At 44.1% G+C, this 21,512-nt stretch overlaps 1 long non-coding RNA gene across 1 annotated transcript, besides 4 other annotated features; it reads right to left on the reverse strand.

Annotated features, from left to right (window-relative positions):
• Positions 1–1,235: 1,235 nt before the first annotated feature.
• LOC124907774 (uncharacterized) lies at positions 1,236–20,221 on the reverse strand. The gene is made up of 2 exons (XR_007086337.1): positions 20,077–20,221; positions 1,236–1,681 (listed from the first exon to the last, which is right to left on the reverse strand). It is a non-coding gene; the product is annotated as an uncharacterized LOC124907774 (long non-coding RNA).
• Positions 4,694–4,783: a silencer, noted in NCBI's record as "silent region_11546". NCBI's record gives its function as "represses an Ori minimal core promoter by ATAC-STARR-seq in GM12878 lymphoblastoid cells {active_cell/tissue: GM12878}" and the evidence as "EXISTENCE:reporter gene assay evidence [ECO:0000049][PMID:35858748]".
• Positions 12,172–12,672: an enhancer, noted in NCBI's record as "H3K27ac hESC enhancer chr2:64297588-64298088 (GRCh37/hg19 assembly coordinates)". NCBI's record gives its function as "activates a minimal SCP1, AML or CMV promoter by ChIP-STARR-seq in primed H9 embryonic stem cells {active_cell/tissue: H9 hESC(primed)}" and the evidence as "EXISTENCE:reporter gene assay evidence [ECO:0000049][PMID:30033119]".
• Positions 17,846–18,427: an enhancer, noted in NCBI's record as "H3K27ac hESC enhancer chr2:64303262-64303843 (GRCh37/hg19 assembly coordinates)". NCBI's record gives its function as "activates a minimal SCP1, AML or CMV promoter by ChIP-STARR-seq in primed H9 embryonic stem cells {active_cell/tissue: H9 hESC(primed)}" and the evidence as "EXISTENCE:reporter gene assay evidence [ECO:0000049][PMID:30033119]".
• Positions 18,428–19,008: an enhancer, noted in NCBI's record as "H3K27ac hESC enhancer chr2:64303844-64304424 (GRCh37/hg19 assembly coordinates)". NCBI's record gives its function as "activates a minimal SCP1, AML or CMV promoter by ChIP-STARR-seq in primed H9 embryonic stem cells {active_cell/tissue: H9 hESC(primed)}" and the evidence as "EXISTENCE:reporter gene assay evidence [ECO:0000049][PMID:30033119]".

A 21,512-nucleotide genomic window follows, 5' to 3' on the forward strand; every position in this document is an offset into this window, starting at 1 on the left:
AAGGAAGGAACAAATTCGGAAGAGCCCTCTCTTCAAGACTGACTTCACTGGAGTCACTTCACTCGGATGTAGCTATCACCTCCTAGATGGTAAAGAAGTTCACCGAGGTTCTGCAAGTCAGCGTCAGGATGCAAGAAACCACCTTCCGGGTTGCCTGTGAGACTCCCTGGGCAGCTGAGCACTTTTGGGATTCCTGCACCCACTGGCTGCCAAGTACCCCAAGAGAAGGAAAATCACATGGGAACAAAGAAGAGAGAAGCACTTTCCTCCTGCAGTGGCCTCCCAGCCCTGTAGACAAAGCTTAACATTCTGCCAGCTGCAAAGGAGAAATGTTTACAGGGCCCAGCTCCAGCATCACAGAACAGAGCAGTGCAGAGATTTGGAGCTGAGAGGAAAGAAGTTGATGCATCAAAGAAATTCTTTTAAATGAAGTGTTCTAATTAATTTCTGTCTAACCAAAGTTTTATGATGCCAAGGTTTTACCACACTATGGAGGATGCACCTCAAAACACCAAGGAATTTGTAAAAATGCAGGGCATGGCTGGGCGCTGTGGCTTACGCCTGTAATCCCAGCACTTTGGGAGGCTGAGGCAGGCAGATCACCTGAGGTTGGGAGTTCGAGACCAGCCTGACCAACACGGAGAAACCCCATCTCTACCAAAAACACAAAATTAGCTGGGCATGGTGGCATATGCCTGCAATCCCAGCTACTAAGGAGGCTGAGGCAGGAGAATCGCTTGAACCTGGGAGGCCGAGGCGGGCGGATCACGAGGTCCGGAGATCGAGACCATCCTGGCTAACACGGTGAAACCCTGTCTCTACTAAAAATACAAAAAAATTAGCTGGGCGTGGTGACAGATGCCTTTAGTCCCAGCTACTCGGGAGGCTGAGGCAGGAGAATGGCATGAACCTGGGAGGTGCAGCTTGCACTGAGCTGAGATTGCGCCATTGCACTCCAGCCTGGGCAACAGAGCGAGACTCCATCTCAAAAAAAAAAAAAAAAAAATGCAGAGCATATGCTTAGTAAAGCAAATTGTTATTATATGTTGTCATTTATGTGTGAAGTTTATGTCTTTGACCCACTGTCAGTGGGACTTACACTTGAAGTTATTTTCTTGAGAATGAAAATGAATGTCTGATTTATCTATATTTTCCCTCCAAACAATTCAGCCAGAGAATATGCTGACTAGCTGATATCAGTCTTATTTCTTTGACAGTAACATTTCTCAGCATAATTGAATGAACATTTTTATTTACCAGTAACTCTGTTTGTGAGGTTGACAAGTAGATCAATTCATTGGAACCTGATTATTCTTGGGTGAAAAGATGAAATTGAATTTCTGTATCACAGAACTAAGGTCTAAACCTCAGAGGAGAGGTATAAGTCACTGTAACAAGGAAGCCTGGCTTGGCCAGTGAGACTTCTCCAACTACCAGATACCACACGACCTAAGGGTAATGTCTGCTGCCAAGCGATACAGCAAAGATAGCTCATAGACCTTGTTTAAAATTTTGCCTTAGACCTTTTTTGAAATTTGCAACAGTGCTAACTTCTTGCATAAGCCCACAGTGGCATGTCCTATAGATGCCTCGATTTATGCTTCTAGTTTGGATTTTGGTGTGAAGTGGCTTGCTGAGATGGGGTATGTGAATCAAGCTCTCTCGGATTCAGTTTCATTGCCTGTAAAGTGAGAAAGTTGGAAAACATTATGTTGAATAAGAATTCTCTGATGTAATAAAAAAGCAACTTTAGGCTGGGCACAGCAGTTCACGCCTGTAATTGTAGCACTTTGGGAGGCCAAGGCGGGTGGATCACTTGAGCCTAGGAGTTCAAGACTAGCCTGGGTAACATGGTGAAACCTCGTCTCTACAAAAAAATGTAAAACTTAGCCAGTGTGGTGGTGCATGCCTGTAGTCCCATCTACTCAGGAGGCTGAGGTGGGAGGATCACTTGAGCCCAGAGGTCGAGGCTGTGAGCCAAGTGAGCTGAGATTGTGCCACTGTACTCCAGCCTGGGTGACAGAGCAAAACCCTGTCTCAATTAAAAAAAAAAAAAAAGCAACTTTATTTTTGTCCCTATTTTCCCTTTGCATATATAAAGTCTATCCATCTATCTATCTAGACATCTATAGATATGTTCTAGTATGAAAATTCTGGCAAGCCCTTAAATTTTCTGGCTTATAATGATTGCTATCACTATAGACTATCACTTTCAATTACAAACACAGTCTTGATACGGAGATTAGAATGTCCAGTGTAAGATATTAATCAGGCTGGGTGCGGTGGCTGACACCTGTAATCCCAGCACTTTGAGAGGCCAAGGTGGGTGGATCACAAGGTCAGGAGTTCGAGACCAGCCTGACCAACATGGTGAAACCCTGTCTCTACTAAAAATACAAAAATTAGCCTGGCGTGGTGGCACACACCTGTAATCCCAGCTACTCAGGAGGCTGAGGCAGGAGAATCGCTTGAACCCGGGAGGTGGAGGTTGCAGTGAGCCGAGATCACACCACTGCACTCCAGCCTAGGCAACAGAGCAAGACTCTCATCTCAAAAAAAAAAAAAAAAAAAAAAAAAGAAATATATATATATACACACACACACACACATACACACACACACACACACACGTATATATATACACATATATATATAAATACACACACTCCAAATCTGGTAAGATATTAATCAATACTCCAAATCTGATTTTAAGGATACATCCTCTCCACTCTTCCAGCCCAAGACTGCTTCACTCTGAAAGCTTGCAGTGGGAAAGGGAGAGATGTGGATGGCTCTTCCTCAGCGCTTCTTGTGGAGTGAATGGGGGTGTCATTATGCTCCTCCAGATTCCTCTCCACCCTTTTCTACCTCCCCCTCTGCCCCACTAATGTGAATATGCTCCATCTCCCTTTGGCTTCAAGTTAGTTTTGGCCAATGAGGAGCTCTGGCAGAAAAGCGAGAAGTGCAAGATCAAAGTTTTTATTTCCTTGGCTTTTTCCTAGAGAGGTTGACTCTAGCTGTTTGTGTCCCTTGATCACTCTTTTTTTTTTTTTTTTTTTTTTTTTTGAGATGGAATCTCACTCTGTCACCCCAGCTGGAGTGCAGTGGCGCAATCTCGGCTCACTGCAACCCCCACCCCTCCAGGTTTAAGCAATTCTCTGCCTCAGCCTCCGGAGTAGCTGGGATTACAGGCACGTGCCACCACGCCTGGCTAATTTTTTTTGTATTTTTAGTAGAGACGGGGTTTCACCAACTTGGCCAGGCTGGTCTTGAACTCCTGACCTTGTGATCCACCCACCTCGGCTCCCAAAGTGCTGGGATTACAGGCGTGAGCCACCGCGCCCGGCCTTGTGTCCCTTGAGTAAAGGTCACTGCTCCTCTCAAGGTGGTCTCCTCCAAATGACACTCCCTTTCCAGGTTCTGATCATCACTCCTTAGGGCCTAAGGGTATAAGCCATTCTGAGGCTTCTAACCCCTGGTTTCTAGACTAGCCTTATGTTTCCATTACACCCCACCAGCTCTCCTGTAAATAGTCTCTTTAAAAATAAACTCTCTCCCACTGCACCCCAGCCTGGGTGACAGGGTAAGACTCTGTCTCGAAAAATAAATAGAAAATAATAATAAACTCTCCTCAAATTATCCTAATTCAAGTGTGTCATCTGTTGCCTGTTGGGACCCTCACTAGAAAAAAAAATCCATCAAAATTTATACTGCATAGCAACATTTGAACTTTAAAAAATCCATTTTCTTTTTTTTTTTTTTTAGATGGAGTTACACTCTGTCACCCGGGCTGGAGTGCAGTGGCACGATCTCGGCTCACTGCAACCTCAGCCTCCTGAGTAGCTAGGACTACAGGCACGTGCCACCACACCTGACTAATATATATATTTTTTGTATTTTTAGTAGAGACAGGGTTTCACCATGTTAGCCAGGCTGGTCTTGAACTCCTGACCTCATGATCCACCCACCTTGGCCTCCCAAAGTGCTGAGATTACAGGCATGAGCCACCGCACCCGGCCAAAAAATCTATTTTCTTAGATTAAGTAACTCACATCGCAAAACTTATAATTTGCTCCACAATATCATTATCCAAAGGCTCAACAACTACTGTACTCTACTGTACTGTACTGGGTCCATTCTAGGTTCGGCAAAGTCAGAGTTGGTACATCTAGCCTCCCCTGATGCATCTCTTTCTTACTGTTTCAGGGCTAATAGGGACGAACATGGATCTAAGTGGTTTCAGTGTCTTCATGAATTGGTCTAATATATTGCCAGGAATAGACGCATTTTAAAAAAGGACTCCAGGATAAAAATATAGAGCTCTAATGATAGAAATTGTGGACACTATGAACCAGGGATGGAGAAGGATGTTTGATCTTGTTTATTCTCATCAAGATGAGGCTTAATTTTTCTGCACCTTTATTCAAAACATGTAACTCAGAGCAGATTTTTTTTTTTAATTTATTTTTTTTTTTTTGAGATAGGGCCTCACTCTGTCACCCAGGCTGGAATGCAGTGATGTGATGATCACAGTTCACTGCAGCCTCAACTTCCTGGGCTCAAGCAATCCTCCCACCTCAGCCTCCCAGAGAGCTGGGACTACAAATGTGTGCCACCACACCTAGCTAATTTTTTGTAGAGATGGGGTTTTGCCATGTTGCTCAGGCTGGTCTTGAGCTCCTGGGCTTAAGCAATCTTCTTGTCTTGGCCTCCAAAAGTGCTGGGATTACAGGTGTGAGTCACCATGCCCAGCACCCAGGGCAGAATTTGAAAGTCCTTGCTTCAGTGTTTGTACAGCTGTTCAGGACTTTCCAGTGTATCAGTTATTCAAATTTTAAAGCACTTATCAAAGAGAGCTTAGTTTTCAGTCTCAAAAGTCCAAGAAAGACCTAAAGATTGTTGGTGGTTATTTTATAGCACACCCAAACAAATCTTTCACATTGTCTCTCTTTAGACCACTTGCCTCTGATCAGGCCTGCCTCCTCAGCCACACTTCAAATGAAAGAAATCAAGTAAACAACTTTTAGCAATCAGGGCACCCTAAAATAGCAGGTGATCTGCAGCAGGTTAAGCACACACCAACATACATGCAAATCAGTCAAATTTTGTACCTGGCAAATAAGGCTAACAATTTATATTTTGACTGACTTGATTATTTGAAAAAACTGCTTTTCTGTGACATAAATATAGATGTTAGTTCTGTCTCGCAGCTAAGTATCTCACGAGAAAGCCACATTAACCTTAATGATTTCCTGACATGGAAATTAATATTCCCTAGCAAAGAAATAAAATGGTATCCACTGGTGCTTGTGCAGCTAAAAAATACTGTCTTCCTCCTTCCCTCCCCTGGTTGACATTAGTTGGTTTCAGTCCACAAATATTTACTGAGTGTTAACAATGTGCCAGGCAACTGTTTAATGCTAGAAACACAGTGCTGAAAAAGACAAAACAAGTCCCTGTTTAAGGCAGTTGCATTCTAAGGGAAGGGGGATATGCAATAAACATGTAAACAAACAAATAAATAATACAATTTCAGGAACTAAGGACTATGAAGAAAATAAAGCGGAGTACTATGGTAGTTGGTACCTGGGGTGTGGTTTGGCTGCTTAGTGACATCTGAGTTGAGACCTGAAGGCTGTGAAGGAGGCAGCAGTGTGAGCATCCAGGGAAGAGCTCTGCTAGCAAAGAAACAGTAAGTGCAAAGGACCTGGGATAGAAACAAGCCTTGTGTACCGTGTACTTGAAGGCAACAAGATGGGCAGTGTGGTTACAGGCAAGTAGTTAGAGGGAAAGCTTGGAAGGAGATAAGGCTGAACAGGAGCCAGGATGAAAGAAGCAGAGCCGGATCAGAGTGATGACAAGCTGGAGGAGGAGTTAAAGAAAGGAAGCTGGGAAGTGGTGTGATCTCATTTGTATTTAATCTGGCTACTTTGTGGAGAATGGATTGTAGGAGGTCAAACACGGAAGTGGGGAGATCTGGGAGGAGCCTATGGCAGAAGTCCGGGTGACAGACACTGGCAGCTTGGCCTAGGGTTTCATCAACAGGCCACTACCGGCTCATACGGTGCCTTTGTGAAAATTAGAAAAAGGCTCCTCTTTCCATTAGATGCCCTGATTGCAGATGGATTAAATGTGAGGTGTGAAGAAAAGAGAGGAATCCAGAATGACTCAAGTTTGCACCTCAATAATTGGCTGGAGAGTTATGGAATCAGTAGTTCAATTCTGATCATGTTCACTTTCAGGACCGTGAAATTTTCCCATGCAGCGGTTGCACCCCCTGTTACAATGTGAAAACTCAGTAGCATTTGCCACACTGACGTTGGTTTCCTTTCAGCTGGCTCTGGGAACCTTATGCTGATGTAATGGAGATAACCTTTGTGAGACGTTAAATCAGTGTATTTGCCTGCCCAGTAAGTCTTTGTCTCCATGGCTTCCCCCTTGAGTCAATGGCATGCATTCAGTCACAGGGAGAAAAAAAAACCCAGCCAAGATTGGATAAGTCATCCCTTAGCTTAGAATTTCAAAATAGGATTAATTCATAGCAAAACAATAGTTTGAAATCAAGGGCTTTGAGTGTCAAAAACCAGACATTGTTGAAAGAAAAAAATGTATTTGTATATGCTAGTGAGGCAGAACTTGGAAAAGTGCCCCTGAACAGATCACAGATACAGCCAAGAAGAACACAGGATATGATGTCAGAGCCACTTTCTCATGACTGGAAGGGAAGATAAAAGCAGCAGGCAGAGGCCGGGTGCAGTGGTTCACGCCTGTAATCCCAGCACTTGGGGAGGCCAAGGTGGGCGGATCATGAGGTCAGGAGATCGAGACCATCCTGGCTAACATGGTGAAACCATCTGTACTAAAAATACAAAAAATTAGCTGGGCGTGGTGGCGGGCACCTGTAATCCCAGCTACTCGGGAAGCTGAGGCAGGTGAATTGCTTTAATCTGGGTGGCGGAGGTTGCAATGAGCTGAGATCGCGTCACTGCACTCCAGCCTGGGCAACAGAGCGAGACTCTGTCCCAAAAAAAAAAAAAAAAAAAAAAAAGCAGCAGGCAGGAATTTGGGACATTCAGAGAGTACCAGCACAGGGTTGCCCCAGATGAGTGGAGGGTGCACTAAAAGAAGAGGAGGCATGTATCCTGCTTTCTGTTTGGAACCGGGGTAACTACAGAGAAGTAGCTTGAGATAGTGATTTCTGTTCTTTGGGGTCATGCATGGTCTTTAGGAGATCCAGTGGTAGAATGATAAAGGCTAATGGGATGAATGGGCTGGAAGAGGCCTGGCCCTTGGGCCAAGAAGTTGTGAGGCTTATGGTCCTTGCCACTGAGAGCCATGGCAGGGGCCGTGGCTGTCAGTAGTGGAAATGGTTCTAGGCCCAAAAGCCGGAGATAATTTCCTCATCAAGGGAGGCCGGGAGAGCCTGGATGATGGCAGACAGACTTGCTCTGCCAGTTTTTCAAGACCCGAATGACATCTTAAGAAAGAGAAGTGGGAGAGGAGAACCATTGGATCAGGGAGAAACCTTGAAAGATTGAGTGAGTTTCCAAGGAAAACTGTTGTAAACGTAAAGAGACTGTGTTACCTTTAATTGGCAAGATCAAGTGTTTCCACCTACGTTAGGAATGGGGGCTTTCCAGCAAGAAATCATTATCGACAATGAAGTTGCTTTTTTTTGTAAATCTAGTTTTTAGTGAGTACATTTAAACCCTGCTACATTAGGAAGGTCTGTATTGCTACCAAATAAAGAGAACTCAGCTTGACATACCCCTGCCTCTAATGGAGAGAGGGGGAGGAAGGAGACGGAGGGGAAAGATTGAGTCTGTCAACAGTAGTTACCTCCAGGGAAGATAACTGAGGGACAGAGAAGGAAGAAAAACCTATTTCTCATGGAACGTTTTCTGTACCTTTTGCATTTTTTCCATATGCATGCATGAACTATTCAAAAATAAATTAAAAGGGGAAAAATAAGTTTCTGAAATGAGAAGCATGCAGATGCACAGAATGTGATATTCAGTGCTTGGCAATTAACCTTAAATAGTTTTCATCTCACCAGAATCTTTGAGCCACTTCTCCTCAGTGTACCTTGTGGTTATTCCCTTCATTTGTGTAGGTGTTGGGTAAGCTGTCTGTCTTGCCTTTCCAGCGAGCCCATGACCCATTTGTGCATGGTACTCCAAACACTGTACCACCGACCCTACAGGTGGCCCATCGCTTTTACAGGGGAAAACAATCCCACTGACCCATTTGGTCTTGCCCTTCATCCTGGATTGAGGTGTGGGAAGGATTAATAAGGGTTTTTTGTTCTCACCCTGGTTATTTCCACCCCATTGGCATCACATAACAATGGGGAAGCAGTGGAAAGAACTTAGGTGCTGGAATCAAATTTGCTAGGGCTTACCTCTGCCAGCTACTAGCTTTAGGTACTTGGGTGGGTCTCAAGTTTCTTCTTCTATACATTGGAGTAATACAAACCTCACTGGGTTATCACAACACAATACTAGAACTGTTCTGATTACCCCAACCCCCAGTCTAAGAGACCAGACTAATTTTTGTAAAATCTCGCATCCAGCCAAACTTAGCATACCTATTGTCCCTGTATTCCTCAGTTTCTACCCAAGACATAAGCCTCTTCATTCATCTGTTGTATCCCTTACTCTCATTTATATCCTTCCCCGTATTTCACTCCCTTGACTCAACCTCCCTCTGCTTCCCTCTTTTAAGTAGTATGTTTTCATTTGCAGGCTACAGGAAACTCAAGTCTAACTGGTTTAAACATTAAGGGCATTTACCGACTCAAGTAACTGAAAATTCAGCAGTGGCAAAGGCCTTGGGTTACCTGCCAGACAGACATACCAAGGGCCTTGTTTCTTCTCTTTCTCTACTCTCGCACCCTCAACGTGAGCTTCATTCTGGGATTGGCTCCCCTCGTGGTTATACAGGCTGGAGGTCAGCAGCAACTGAGCCTGCATGCTTCTGCATTAAGTCCAGAGGAACTGAGGAGTGAGTCTTTAACCATCAAACAAAAATCCTGGCCTTTCATTAATTAGAACAACCTGAACCAATCATGGTGACTAGGGGAATGCCATGTGCTAATTTGCTTAGCTCTGAACTAAGTTATCCATTTTTGAGCCAATTACAGTGACAAGGGAGTTGAGATTATGATGACTGATTTAGATCAGAGGTTCTCAACTGGGAGCAGCACTGCCTCCTTCAGAGTATTTGGAAATGTTGCTCTGACTGGGAGTACCACTGGCTTTTACTGGAAGAGGGATGGGGGAGGGGAGACACAGGACAGTCGTGTGGAATTTTGGTCTGCCAAAAATGCCAATAGTGCCTCTATGAAGAAACACTGACTTAAAACATCAGGGCACACTTCTGAAACAGGAGTTTGTTTTCCCTTAGGTACATAAGCCATACTGGGGCAGGATGGACACCTAAACAAAAATGACTAGACTACTCAGGCTCCTTCCTAATCTTTATTGACTCCCTTCTATCTTTACTTAGATCCCTGCTCAGCCTATTATGTATTACTTTTAACTAATCTCTTGACAATGTCATTTACTTCCTAGCCCCATTCTGCTGTACCTACCCAGATAAATCCTATAGTGACACTGACTTGAGAAAGATACTTTCAAACCTTTTAAAAATCAAAGCTATAGGCCAGGCGTGGTGGCTTATGCCTATAATCCCAATACTTTGGGAGGCCCAGGTGGGGCAGATCACCTGAGGTCAGGAGTTCAAGACCAGCCTGGTCAACATGGTGAAAGCCTGTCTCTACTAAAAGTACAAAAATTAGCTGGATGTCATGGTGGGCGCCTGTAATCCCAGCTACTCAGGAGGCTGAGGCGGGAGAATCGCTTGATCCCGGGAGGCGGAGGTTGCAGTGAGCAGAGATCACACCACTGCACTCCAGCCTGGGCGACAAGAGTGAGACTCCATCTCAAAAAAAAAAAAAAAAAGCCAGTGTAGTGGCTCATGCCTGCACTTTGGGAGGCCGAGGTGGGTGGATCACAAGGTCAGGAGATCGAGAGCATCCTGGCCAACATGGTGAAACCCCGTCTCTACTAAAAATACAAAAATTAGCCAGGTTTTGTGGTATGCGCCTGTAGTCCCAGCTACTCAGGAGGCTGAGGCAGGAGAACTGCTTGAACCCGGGAGGCAGAGCTTGCAGTGAGCCGAGATCATGCCACTGCACTCCAGCCTGGTGACAGAGCAAGACTCTGTCAAAAAAAAAAAAAAAAAATCAAATCTATATAATATTTAAAAAAAATTTTTTTTTTTTTGAGATGGAGTCTTGCTCTGTTGCCCAGGCTGGAGTGCAATGGAGTGATCTCAGCTCACTGCAAGCTCCGCCTCCCAGGTTCATGTCATTCTCCTGCTTCAGCCTCCCGGGTAGCTGGGATGACAGGTGCCCGCCACCACACCTGGCTAATTTTTTGTATTTTTAGTAGAGACGGGGTTTCACCGTGTTAGCCAGGATGGTCTTGATCTCCTGATCTTGTGATCCACCCACCTCGGCCTCCCAAAGTGCTAGGATTACAGCCGTGAGCCACTGTGCCTGGCCTTTTTGACTTTTTTATGCAGAGTCCTTCTCTGTCACCCAGGCTAAAGTGCAGTGGTGAGATCTCAGCTCACTGCAACCTTCGCCTCCTGGGCTCAAGCGGTCCTCCCACCTTGGCCTCCCAAATTTCTGGGACTACAGATGTGAGCCACTGCACCTGGCCCTTTGTCTGTATTTCATGTATACCTGTGCACATCCATGTGTTTGTATATTGTCTTCATGATACCAAATGCACTTATACATAAATGAGCACTCAGAAATTAGTAAGCCCAAATAAATGCTTTCCAAAGTTCCCATTGACTCGAGTAACTCTTTTGGTAAATAAGGCTAGTTTAATATTGTTGGTTTAATAAAAACAACTATGTCTTCTGAGTTAGCAACAAAATATATATATATTTAACTTTAAGATTCTTGCCCAATCATAAAAATGGTGAATAGAAAATTTAACTTGAAATGGATAGATTTGTCCAATTGTAAAATTTTCCAAACATGATTGTTAAAAATAAATAGGCCGGGCACAGTGGCTCATGCCTGTAATCCCAGCACTTTGGGAGGCCGAGGCGGGCAGATCACCTAAGGTCAGGATTTCCAGACCAGCCTGGCCAACATGGTGAAACGCTGTCTCTACTAAAAATACAAAAATTAGCCAGTTGTGGTGGCAGGCGCCTGTAATCCCAGCTACTCGGGAGGCTGAGGCAGGAGAATCGCTTGAACCCGGGAGGCAGAGATTGCAGTGAGCCAAGATCGCACCATTGTACTCCAGCGTGGGGGACAAGAGCGAGACTTCATCGCAAAACAAATAAATAAATAAAATAGATGTAAATGAGGTAGAAATTTATAAATGAACTTTTAATAATTATTATGTTTTATAAAATGTTTACTTGAAAAGGGTTTTCAAATCTTTTTGAGCTATAGCGTTAGAATTTTGCTAAACTAAATGATATTCATTGCATATGATAATCTAAATCATCCACAAATAAGATATAATGCTAAGACATTAATTACTAATCATGAGTTTAAGCTTACATGCTTTTAACTTCAGAAAACAAAAGGTATTTAGATACACTAAAAATGTTCTGTTCCACATTAAAAAATTGTTCGATTAGAAAAGCCTAAGTTTCAGGCCGGGCGGGATGGCTCACGCCTGTAATCCTAGCACTTTGGGAGGCCGACGCGGGTGGATCGCCTGAGCTCAGGAGTTCAAGATCATCCTGGGCAACATAGTGAAACCCCGTCTCTACTAAAATACAAAAAATTAGCCGGTCGTGGCGGCGTGCACCTGCAGTCCCAGCTACTCGTGAGGCTGAGGCAGAATTGCTTGAACCCGGGAGGCGGAGGTTGCAGTGAGCCAAAATTGCACCACTGTACTCCAGCCTGGGCGACACAGCGAGACTCCATCTCCAAAGATTCATAAATTCAAGTTGGTACTTGACTGAGAGTTAAAAATTGCTTACTTTTTAGATTTTCACCATAAATTAAGGTTACAAAGAGTTAAAATTCTAACACATGGTAACTAAAACTAAAGAAGGAAAACAATTCTACATACAGAATATAGCAGGAAAGTAAGATGTGTTTTTAATAAGGAAGGTTATAAGAAAGACATGAGGCTGGGCACGGTGGCTCATGCCTGTAATCCCAATACTTTGGGAGGCCGAGGCAGGCTGGGTGTGGTGGTGGGCACCTGTGATCCCAGCTACTTGGTAAGCTGAGGCAGGAGAATCACTTGAACCCTGGAGGCAGAGGTTGCAGTGAGCCGAGATCGTGTCATTGCACTCCAGCCTGGGCATCAATAGCGAGACTCCATCTCAAAAAACAAAAAACAAAAAAACTTCCAGAACTCTAATATAAACCTGACAGGTTCACGAAGATTGCTAACCCAACATTAAGCAGAACAAGATTCAATTTCATGGGACTGAATTGATGGAGTAGTGAAATTATTTTCATGTCCTTTTGTTTAAAACATTGCTGATTATGTCTGGACACAGTGGCTAATGCCTGTAATCCCAGCACTTTGGGAGGCCAAGGCGGGTGGATCACCTGAGGTCAGGAGTTTGAAACCAGCCTGGTCAACATGGCGAAACTCTGTCTCCACTAAAAATACAAAAATTAGCCAGGCATGGTCGTGGGTGCCTGAAATCCCAGCTACTTGGGAGGCTGAGGCAAGGAGAATTGCTTGAACCCGGGAGGCAGAGGTTGCAGTGAGCCGAGATCGAGCCACTGCACTCCAGTCTGGGCGACGAGAACAAATCTCCATCTCAAAAAAAAAAAAAAAAAAAAGTCCAGGCAAGGTGGCTCATTCATGCTTGTAATTCCAGCACTTTGGGAGGCTGAGGTGGGTGAATCACAAGGCCAGAAGATTGAGACCATCCTGGCTAGCATGCTGAAACTCCGTCTCTACTACAAATACAAAAAATTAGACGGGCGTGGTGGCACGCTCCAGTAATCTCAGCTACTCAGGAGGCTGAGGCAGGAGAATCGCTTGAACCCAGGAAGCGGAGGTTGCAGTGAGCCAAGATCACGCTACTGCACTCCAGCCTGGGAGAGAAAGTAAGACTCCATCTCAAAAAAAAAAAAAAAAAAAAATTGCTGATTCTTTTTATGTTTTGTTTTCCAGAGTCAAGATATATTAGCTTTTGAGTTATTTATGGCCAACAGCAATCGGGTAAAGTATACCTTTTTTTTTGTTTGTTTGAGTTGGAGTCTTGCTCTGTCACTCAGGCTGGAGTGCAGTGGCACAATCTTGGCTCACTGCAACCTCTGCCTCCCGGGTTCAAGTGATTCTCCTGCCTCAGCCTCCCAAGTAGCTGGGATTAGCCCACCACAACACCTGGCTTATATTTGTATTTTTAGTAGAAATGAGGTTTCAGCATGTGTTCCAGCTGGTCTCGAACTCCTGACCTCAGGTGGTCCACTGGCCTTGGCCTCCCAAAGTGCTGGGATTACAGGTGTCAGCTTCCATGCCTGGCCAGGTAATGTATACTTTTGTGAAGAAATTGAGACATTTACCTTTCTCTTTACCTGTCTTCTCTGGAATTCAGAAACTATTCATGAATATCCTTGTTTTCTAGCAATATAGTAATTTGCATAAGTTCAATAAGAATTTGGGGTTTTTTTTGTAACAGGACACAGTTGGAGACACTGGTAATTTTACCAAGGCGTTGACTGGAATAATATATTTTAGATATCACCAGTCTTTGAGGGATCGAAATTGACTTTAGAAAGCCAATAGACTTAGAAAAAGACTGACCTGGTACCTTGCCTACACAGTTTTCTTACAAGATTCCTGACCTTGTGGTAAGTAAAGAATGTCACTTTCTGACAGGCCCAGGAACTTCAAGATATTTTGAGACCTTGAGAAGAAAGGAACTCACCTGATTTGTACAGGTATTACAGGCATAGTCTGATGGTGAATTCTTGGCTTGGCTTTGTAGCCTCAAGAGGCTTTTAAAAGTCTAATTCTTTATGCAAATGTTCCAGCAAAGCCAATTTAAAAGGAGACTATGGCCAATCAGTATTCTTGTTGAACTTTATGTAAATAATCAGGCAAAGTATAGTAAGACTAAAACTTATTTTACAAGTAAATTGGTCTTACTATGATTTATCTTTGATAAAATGGGGGAACTGGAAGAGAAAAATTGTATTTTAATAGTATGCCTACTGTTAGATTTTAGCCCTGACCATTGTTTTTGACTTTTTATTGTTCACCTAAAATTTGGATTGAATTTGGAATCGTTTTCTGGCTACAACAAGACTCTTACAAAACACCCTGGATTTAATTTTCTTCTTGATGTTTTTAGTTGGCTCCCTAATGGAATAGTTTCTTTTTGTTATTGTTCTGTCATCCGAATTCTCTTTTTGATTATAATCCTTCTGCACATTATATTTCTAGTATTCAAATTATTAATGCTATATATCTCTCATTGTTTTATTTCTGAGAAAATTAAAATCATGATATTCCAAAGACTAAAGATGATTCAACAAGTGATAATAGCTATATAAATCAATGATTTGACTGAGGTCTCTTGCCAGTCTCTGATTCTATCACAATTCAGCTTTTGGGCGCTCTTAAGATTTCTTCCCTAAGATGTGTCCTCCTTATCTCTGATGTAAGACAGGACTATATGGGAATGAGTCTTCCCAGTGACAAGGAACACTTTGACACTCAGACTTTGATCATCAATGCTTTCAAGAAAAAAGATTTTTGATCAAAAGGGGGAAATGAAAAAGAAAAGAAACTTAATCTGAGGAATGCAAGCCTCCTTTAAATGATCAGGAACAGAGAGGCATTGAAATATGATGACAGTCACATCCCATCTCCCCCCTCAGCTGTGCCCTTGAGTTTAGTAATCATTTCATAGTTGCCTGCTGTATGGACTCTAGATGGAGTGTTTCCAGCAATAGCTATAAATTAATCTAGTAATGCCATATGCTGGACACCATAACTCATACCCTTTTGTACAACAACGTATAGCCAATCACGTATCAATGTTATTTCTGTAAACCAGTGAGAATTCCTGACCAAAAACTTTTGTAAATTGCCCCCTCTCCTGGTTCATCCTTTTTTCTTTAAGACTTTGAGCCTCTCCTTCTCCTCTGGAGCACTTCCTAGTGTTTCCCAGGCTGCAGTCCTCAACCTTGGGCCAAACAAACTCTCAGCCTATATTAATTTTGCCTCAGTTTCTTTCTTTAGGTTGACAGACTCTTAGTATCTCCCAGGGGCTCCCCTTCTCTTGCCCTTGAAAAATAGGACCTCAGAAATTTAACTGGGCACATGGTCATCCACAATAAAGACTATATTTATCAGCTTCTCTTGTGGCTCGATGTGCCATGGGACTAAGCTATGGTCAATGGATTTAAGTAGAAGTGGCATATGTAACCACCTGATAGATTCATCTTGCTCACTGTCCAGATAGAGCCAATTATAAGACAGGAGAATTGCAATAGAGAAAGAGTTTAATTCACATTGCTGGCTGAACAGGAGACCAGAGTTTTATTATTATTCAAATCAGCCTCCCTGAAAATTCCAAGGCTAGAATTTTTCAAGGATACTTTGGAGGGCCAGGGAATGGGTGCTGCTGATTAGTTGGGGATGCAATCATAGGGATGTGGAAAATAGTTTTCTTTCAGGTGAGGCCACAAGACTGCTTGATGGGTCTGCATGGAGCCATTGTGGTCAGAAATGCAAACCTGAAAAGACATCTCAAAAGGCCAATCTTAGGTTCTACAATAGTGATGTTATCTGCAGGAGTAATTGAGGAAGCTGTAAATCTTGTGACCTCTGGAATAATGGCTGGTAATTGTTTACATAGACACCTTAGCAGAATTCATGCTCCTGATATCCTCCTACCCTGGTGGTCTTTTATTAGCTTTACAAAGACAGTTTAGATTTGGGGAGGGGCTATTATCATTTAAGTTATAAACTAAATGTTTCCCAAAGTTAGGTTGGCCCAAGCCCAGGAATGATTAAGGGCAGTTTGGAGATTAAAGGAAAGATGGGGATTGGTTAGATCTCTTTTTTTTTTTTTTTTTTTAGAGGGAGTCTTGCTGTGTAGCCCAGGCTGGAGTACAGTGATGTGATCTTGACTCACTGCAAGCTCCACCTCCTGGGCTCACACCATTCTCCTGCCTCAGCCTCCGGAGTAGCTGGGACTACAGGCGCCTGCCACCATGCCTGGCTAATTTTTTTGTATTTTTAGTAGAGACGGGGTTTCACCGTGTTAGCCAGGATGGTCTCAATCTCCTGACCTTGTGATCTGCCCGCCTTGGCCTCCCAATGTGCTGGGATTACAGGCATAAGCCACTGCGCCTGGCCAATTAGATATCTTTTACTGTCATTAATTTTCTCATTGTTATAATTTTTGCAAAGATGGTTTCATTATCATCTTTATTTCAAAGTTAAACTATAAACTAAATTTCTCCCAAAGTTAGTTTGGCCTGTGCCCAGGAATGAACAAAGGCAGTTTCATGCGCGTCCCTGTGAAGAGACCATCAAACAGGCTTTGCGTGAGCAATAAAGCTTTTAATTACCTGGGTGCAGGTGGGCTGAGTCCGAAAAGAGAGTCAGAGAAGGGAGATAAGGGTGGGGCTGTTTTATAGGATTTGGGTAGATAAAGGAGAATTACAGTCAAAGGGGGGTTGTTCTCTGGCGGGCAGAGTGGGGGTCACAAGGTGCTCAGTAGGGGAGCTTTTGAGCCAGGATGAGCCAGGAGAAGGAATTTCACAAGACAATGCCATCAGTTAAGGCAGGAACCGGCCATCTGGATGTGTACATGCAGGTCACAGGGGATATGATGGCTTAGCTTGGGCTCAGAGGCCTGACATTCCTGTCTTCTTATATTAATAAGAAAAATAAAACGAAATAGTGGTAAAGTGTTGGGACGGTGAAAATTTTTGGGGGTGGTATGGAGAGATAATGGGCGATGTTTCTCAGGGCTGCTTCCAGCGGGATTAGGGGCGGTATGGGAACCTAGAGTGGGAGAGATTAAGCTGAAGGAAGATTTTGTGGTAAAGGGGTGATATTGTGGGGTTGTTAGAAGAAACATTTGTCGTGTAGAATTATTGGTGATGGCCTGGATACGGTTTTGTATGAATTGAAAAACTAAATGGAATAAGAGGAGGAGAAAAACAGGTATAAAAGGTCTAAGAATTGGGAGGACCCAGGACATCTGATTAGAGTGCCTAAGGAGATTCAGCATAGTCCTGCCAGCAAAGATTATTTATTTACTTCAAGAGTTTAGAGTGGCAGTTTGGGGATAGCACCAGGAGATATCAGCTGAGATGGCTTGGAGAAACAGTGTAAACCGGCAGTGTAAACAAGAGCAGGGCATGTATGAGTAGTTGAGAATGGTGAATAGGAGTGTCAGGCCTCTGAGCCCAAGCCAAGCCATCGCATCCCCTGTGACTTGCACGTATACATCCAGATGGCCTGAAGTAACTGAAGATCCACAAAAGAAGTAAAAATAGCCTTAACTGATGACATTCCACCATTGTGATTTGTTTCTGCCCCACCCTAAGTGATCAATGTACGTTGTAATCTCCCCCACCCTTAAGAAGTTACTTTGTAATCTCCCCCACCCTTAAGAAGTTTCTTTGTAATTCTCCCCACCCTTGAGAATGTACTTTGTGAGATCCACGCCTGCCCGCAAAACATTGCTCTTAACTTCACCGCCTATCCCAAAACCTATAAGAACTAATGATAATCCACCAACCTCTGCTAACTCTCTTTTCAGACTCAGCCCGCCTGCACGCAGGTGATTAAAAGCTTTTATTGCTCACACAAAGCCTGTTTGGTGGTCTCTTCACACGGACGCGCGTGAAAAGGAGTGTGACTAGACAGAAGATAGGATGACAAGTTTTTTTGGGGCACAGTCTAAGTCGGTCTGGTGTCCGGAATGAGACTGGGGCCTAATAAAAAGGAGCGTCTATATAGGACTGTATCTTGTAGCATTCTGAGGACAGGTCTGACTTCTGAGAAGGGAAAATGATAAAAGTATTGTCTATTCTTTTTTAAGTTGGTGGCTGAGATTGGTGAGGTGTGTTTTTAAAAGACCTTTAGTCTGTTCTACTTTTCTTGAAGATGGAGGACCGTAAGGGATATAAAGGTTTCAATGAATACTAAGAGCCTGAAAAACTGCTTGGCTGATTTGACTAATAAAGGCTGGTCTGTTATCAGACTGTATAGAGGTGGGAAGGCTAAACTGAGGAATTATGTCTGAGAAGGGAAGAAATGACTGCAGTGACCTTCTCAGACCCTGTGGGAAAGGCCTCTACCTATCCAGTGAAAGTGTCTACCTAGACTAAGAGGTATTTTAGTTATCTGACTCGGGGCATGTTGAGTAAAGCTGATTTGCCAGTCCTGGGTGGCGGCAAATCCTCGAGCTTGATGTGTAGGGAAGGGAGGGGGCCTGAATAATCCCTGAGTAGTAGTAGAATAGCAGATGGAACACTGAGGAGTTATTTCCTTGAGGATGGATTTCCACAATGGAAAGGAAATGAGAGGTTCTAAGAGGCGGGCTAGTGGCTTGTACTATAGCATAGCCTGCCTTTGCTTGTATGTGGCGATTAGGCCTGGTGGAACTGCCATCAATAAATCAAGCGTGATCAGGGTGAGGAACAGGAAAGAAGGAAATATGGGGAAATAGGGTGGATGTCAGGTGGATCAGAGAGATACAGTCATGAGGGTCAGGCGTGGTATCAGGAATAATGTGGGAGGCCAGACTGAAGTCCAGGCCAGGAACGATGGTAATTATAGGACTTAACAAAGAGCGAGTACAGCTGAAGGAGCCGGGGAGCAGAAAGTATATGTGTCAGGTATGAGGAAGAAAATACATTTTGGAAGTTATGAGAAATGTAGAGAGTGAGTTGAGCATAGTTTGTGATTTTTAGGGCCTCTAAAAGTATTAAAGCAGCGGCAGCCGCTGCATGCAGACATGAGGGCTAGGCTAAAACAGTAAGGTCAAGTTGTTTGGACAGAAAGGCTACAGGGTGCGGTCCTGGCTCTTGTGTAAGAATTCTGACCGCACTAACCATACCTAGGAAGGAAAGGAGTTGTTGTTTTGTAAGGGATTGAGGTTTAGGAGATTAATTGGACACGATCAGCAGGGAGAGCACGTGTGTTTTTATGAGAATTATGCCGAGATAGGTAACAGATGAGGATGAAATTTGGGCGTGACTGAAGTAATGGGGGCTGTCTGTGAAGCCTTGCGGCAGTACAGCCCAGGTAATTTGCTGAGCCTAATGGGTGTCAGGGTCAGTCTAAGCGAAAGCAAAGAGAGTCTGGGATGAAGGGTGCAAAGGAATAGTAAAGAAAGCAGGTTTGAGATCTAGAACAGAATAATGGGTTGTAGAGGGAGGTACTGAGGACAGGAGAGTATATGGGTTTGGCACCATGGGGTGGATAGGCAAAACAATTTGGTTGATAAGGCGCAGATCCTGAACTAACCTGTAAGCCTTGTCTGGTTTTAGGACAGGTAAAATGGGCGAATGGTAAGGAGAGTTTATAGGCTTTAAAAGGCCATGCTGTAGCAGGCGAGTGATAACAGGCTTTAATCTTTTTAAAGCATGCTGCGGGATGGCATATTGGCGTTGAGTGGGGTAAGGGTGATTAGGTTTTAATGAGATGGTAAGGGGTGCATGATTGGTCGCCAAGGAGGGAGTAGAGGTATCTTATACTTGTGGGTTAAGGTGGGGGATACAAGAGGAGGACGCAAAGGAGGCTTTGGATTGGGAAGAAGGGCGGCAGTGAGATATAGCTGTAGTCCAGGAATAGTCACGGAAGCAGATAATTTAGTTAAAGTGTCTCGGCCTAATAAGGGACCTGGGCAGGTGGGGATAACTAAAAGGAGTGCTTAAAAGAGTATTGTCTAAGTTGGCACCAGAGTTGGGGAGTTTTAAGAGGTTTAGAAGCCTGGCCGTCAATACGCACAACAGTTACAGAAGCAAGGGAAACAGGCACTTGAAAACAAGGTAATGTGGAGTAGCCTCCGTATTGATTAAGAAGGGGACAGACTTACCCTCCACTGTGAGAGTTACCTAGAGCATCTGTGATGGTCCTGTAGGCTTCTGAGGCTATCGGGCAGTGTCAATCTTCAGCTGCTAAGCCAAGAAGATCTGAGAAGGAGTCAGAGAGCCTTGGGCCAGAGTTCCAGGGGCTCTGGAAGTGGCTGCCGGTGAGTTGAACAGTCCGATTTTCAGTGGGGTCCTGCACAGATGGGACACGGCTTAGGAGGAATTCCGCGCTGTGGGCATTCCTTGGCCCAGTGGCCAGATTTCTGGCACTTGTGGCAAGCTCCTGGGGGAGGAGGTTCTGGAGGAACCCCTGGCAGCTGCGGTTCAGGTGTTTGGAGTTCTTGTGTGCTGGAGATGTGGCTGGGGTTTGTCTCACAGTGGAGGAAAGAATTGCAACTCAGAAATATGTTGCTACTTGGCTGCCTCCACTCTATTATTGTACACCTTGAAGGTGAGGTTAATTAAGTCCTGTTGTGGGGTTTGAGGGCCGGAATTTAATTTTTGGAGTTTTATTTAATGTCAGGAGCAGATTGGGTAATAAAATGTATATTGAGAATAAGACGGCCTTTTGACCTTTTAGGGTCTAGGGCTGTAAAGCGTCTCAGGGTTGCTGCCGAATGAGCCATGAACTGGGCTGGGTTTTTCATATTTGATGAAAGAGCCTAAACGCTCACTGATTTGGGAGAGGTCTGATAAAGAAAAAGGAGCATTAACCTTGACTATGCCTTTAGCTTCAGCCACCTTTTTAAGAGGAAATTGCTGGGCAGGTGGGGGAGGGCTACTTACGGAATGAAACTGTAAACTGGACCGGGTGTGAGGAGGGGAGGTGATAAAAAGATTATAGGGTGGAAGAGCAGAGGCTGAGGAAGAATTGGGACCTAGCTCAGCCTGGCAAGGAGCAGACTGGGGAGGAGGGGAGAGGTCACATGGGTCTGTAGAAAAGGAAGATTAGAAAAACTCAGCGACACTTGGGGTTGGGACTGAGGGGACAGGCAGGAGGGAAAGAAGGAAGATTTGGGATCAGTTGCACTGGGCACAGAGACTAGGGAGGGACCGATGTGTAAAAGAATGCCTGGACGTCAGGCACCTCAGACCATTTGCCCATTTTACGACAAGAATCATTTAGATCTTGCAGGATGGAAAAATTGAAAGTGCCGTTTTCTGGCTATTTGCAACCACTGTCGAGTTTGTATTGGGGTCAAGTGGCATTGCAGAAGAAAATAAGGCATTTAGGTTTTAGGTCAGGTGTGAGTTGAAGAGGTTTTAAGTTCTTGAGAGCGCAAGCTAAGGGAGACGAAGGAATGGAGGGTGGAAGGTTGCCTATAGTGAAGGAGGCAAGTCCAGAGAAAAGAGAGAGTAGAGACACGGAGGGAAGGGGTTTGGGGGTTCTTACCCTCCAGAAAAGCAGGAAAGGGGTCGGGGCACAGAAATAAGGGGTTGA

The sequence above is a fragment of the Homo sapiens genome, chromosome 2 (assembly GCF_000001405.40).
Source record: "Homo sapiens chromosome 2, GRCh38.p14 Primary Assembly".
NCBI lineage: Eukaryota > Metazoa > Chordata > Mammalia > Primates > Hominidae > Homo > Homo sapiens.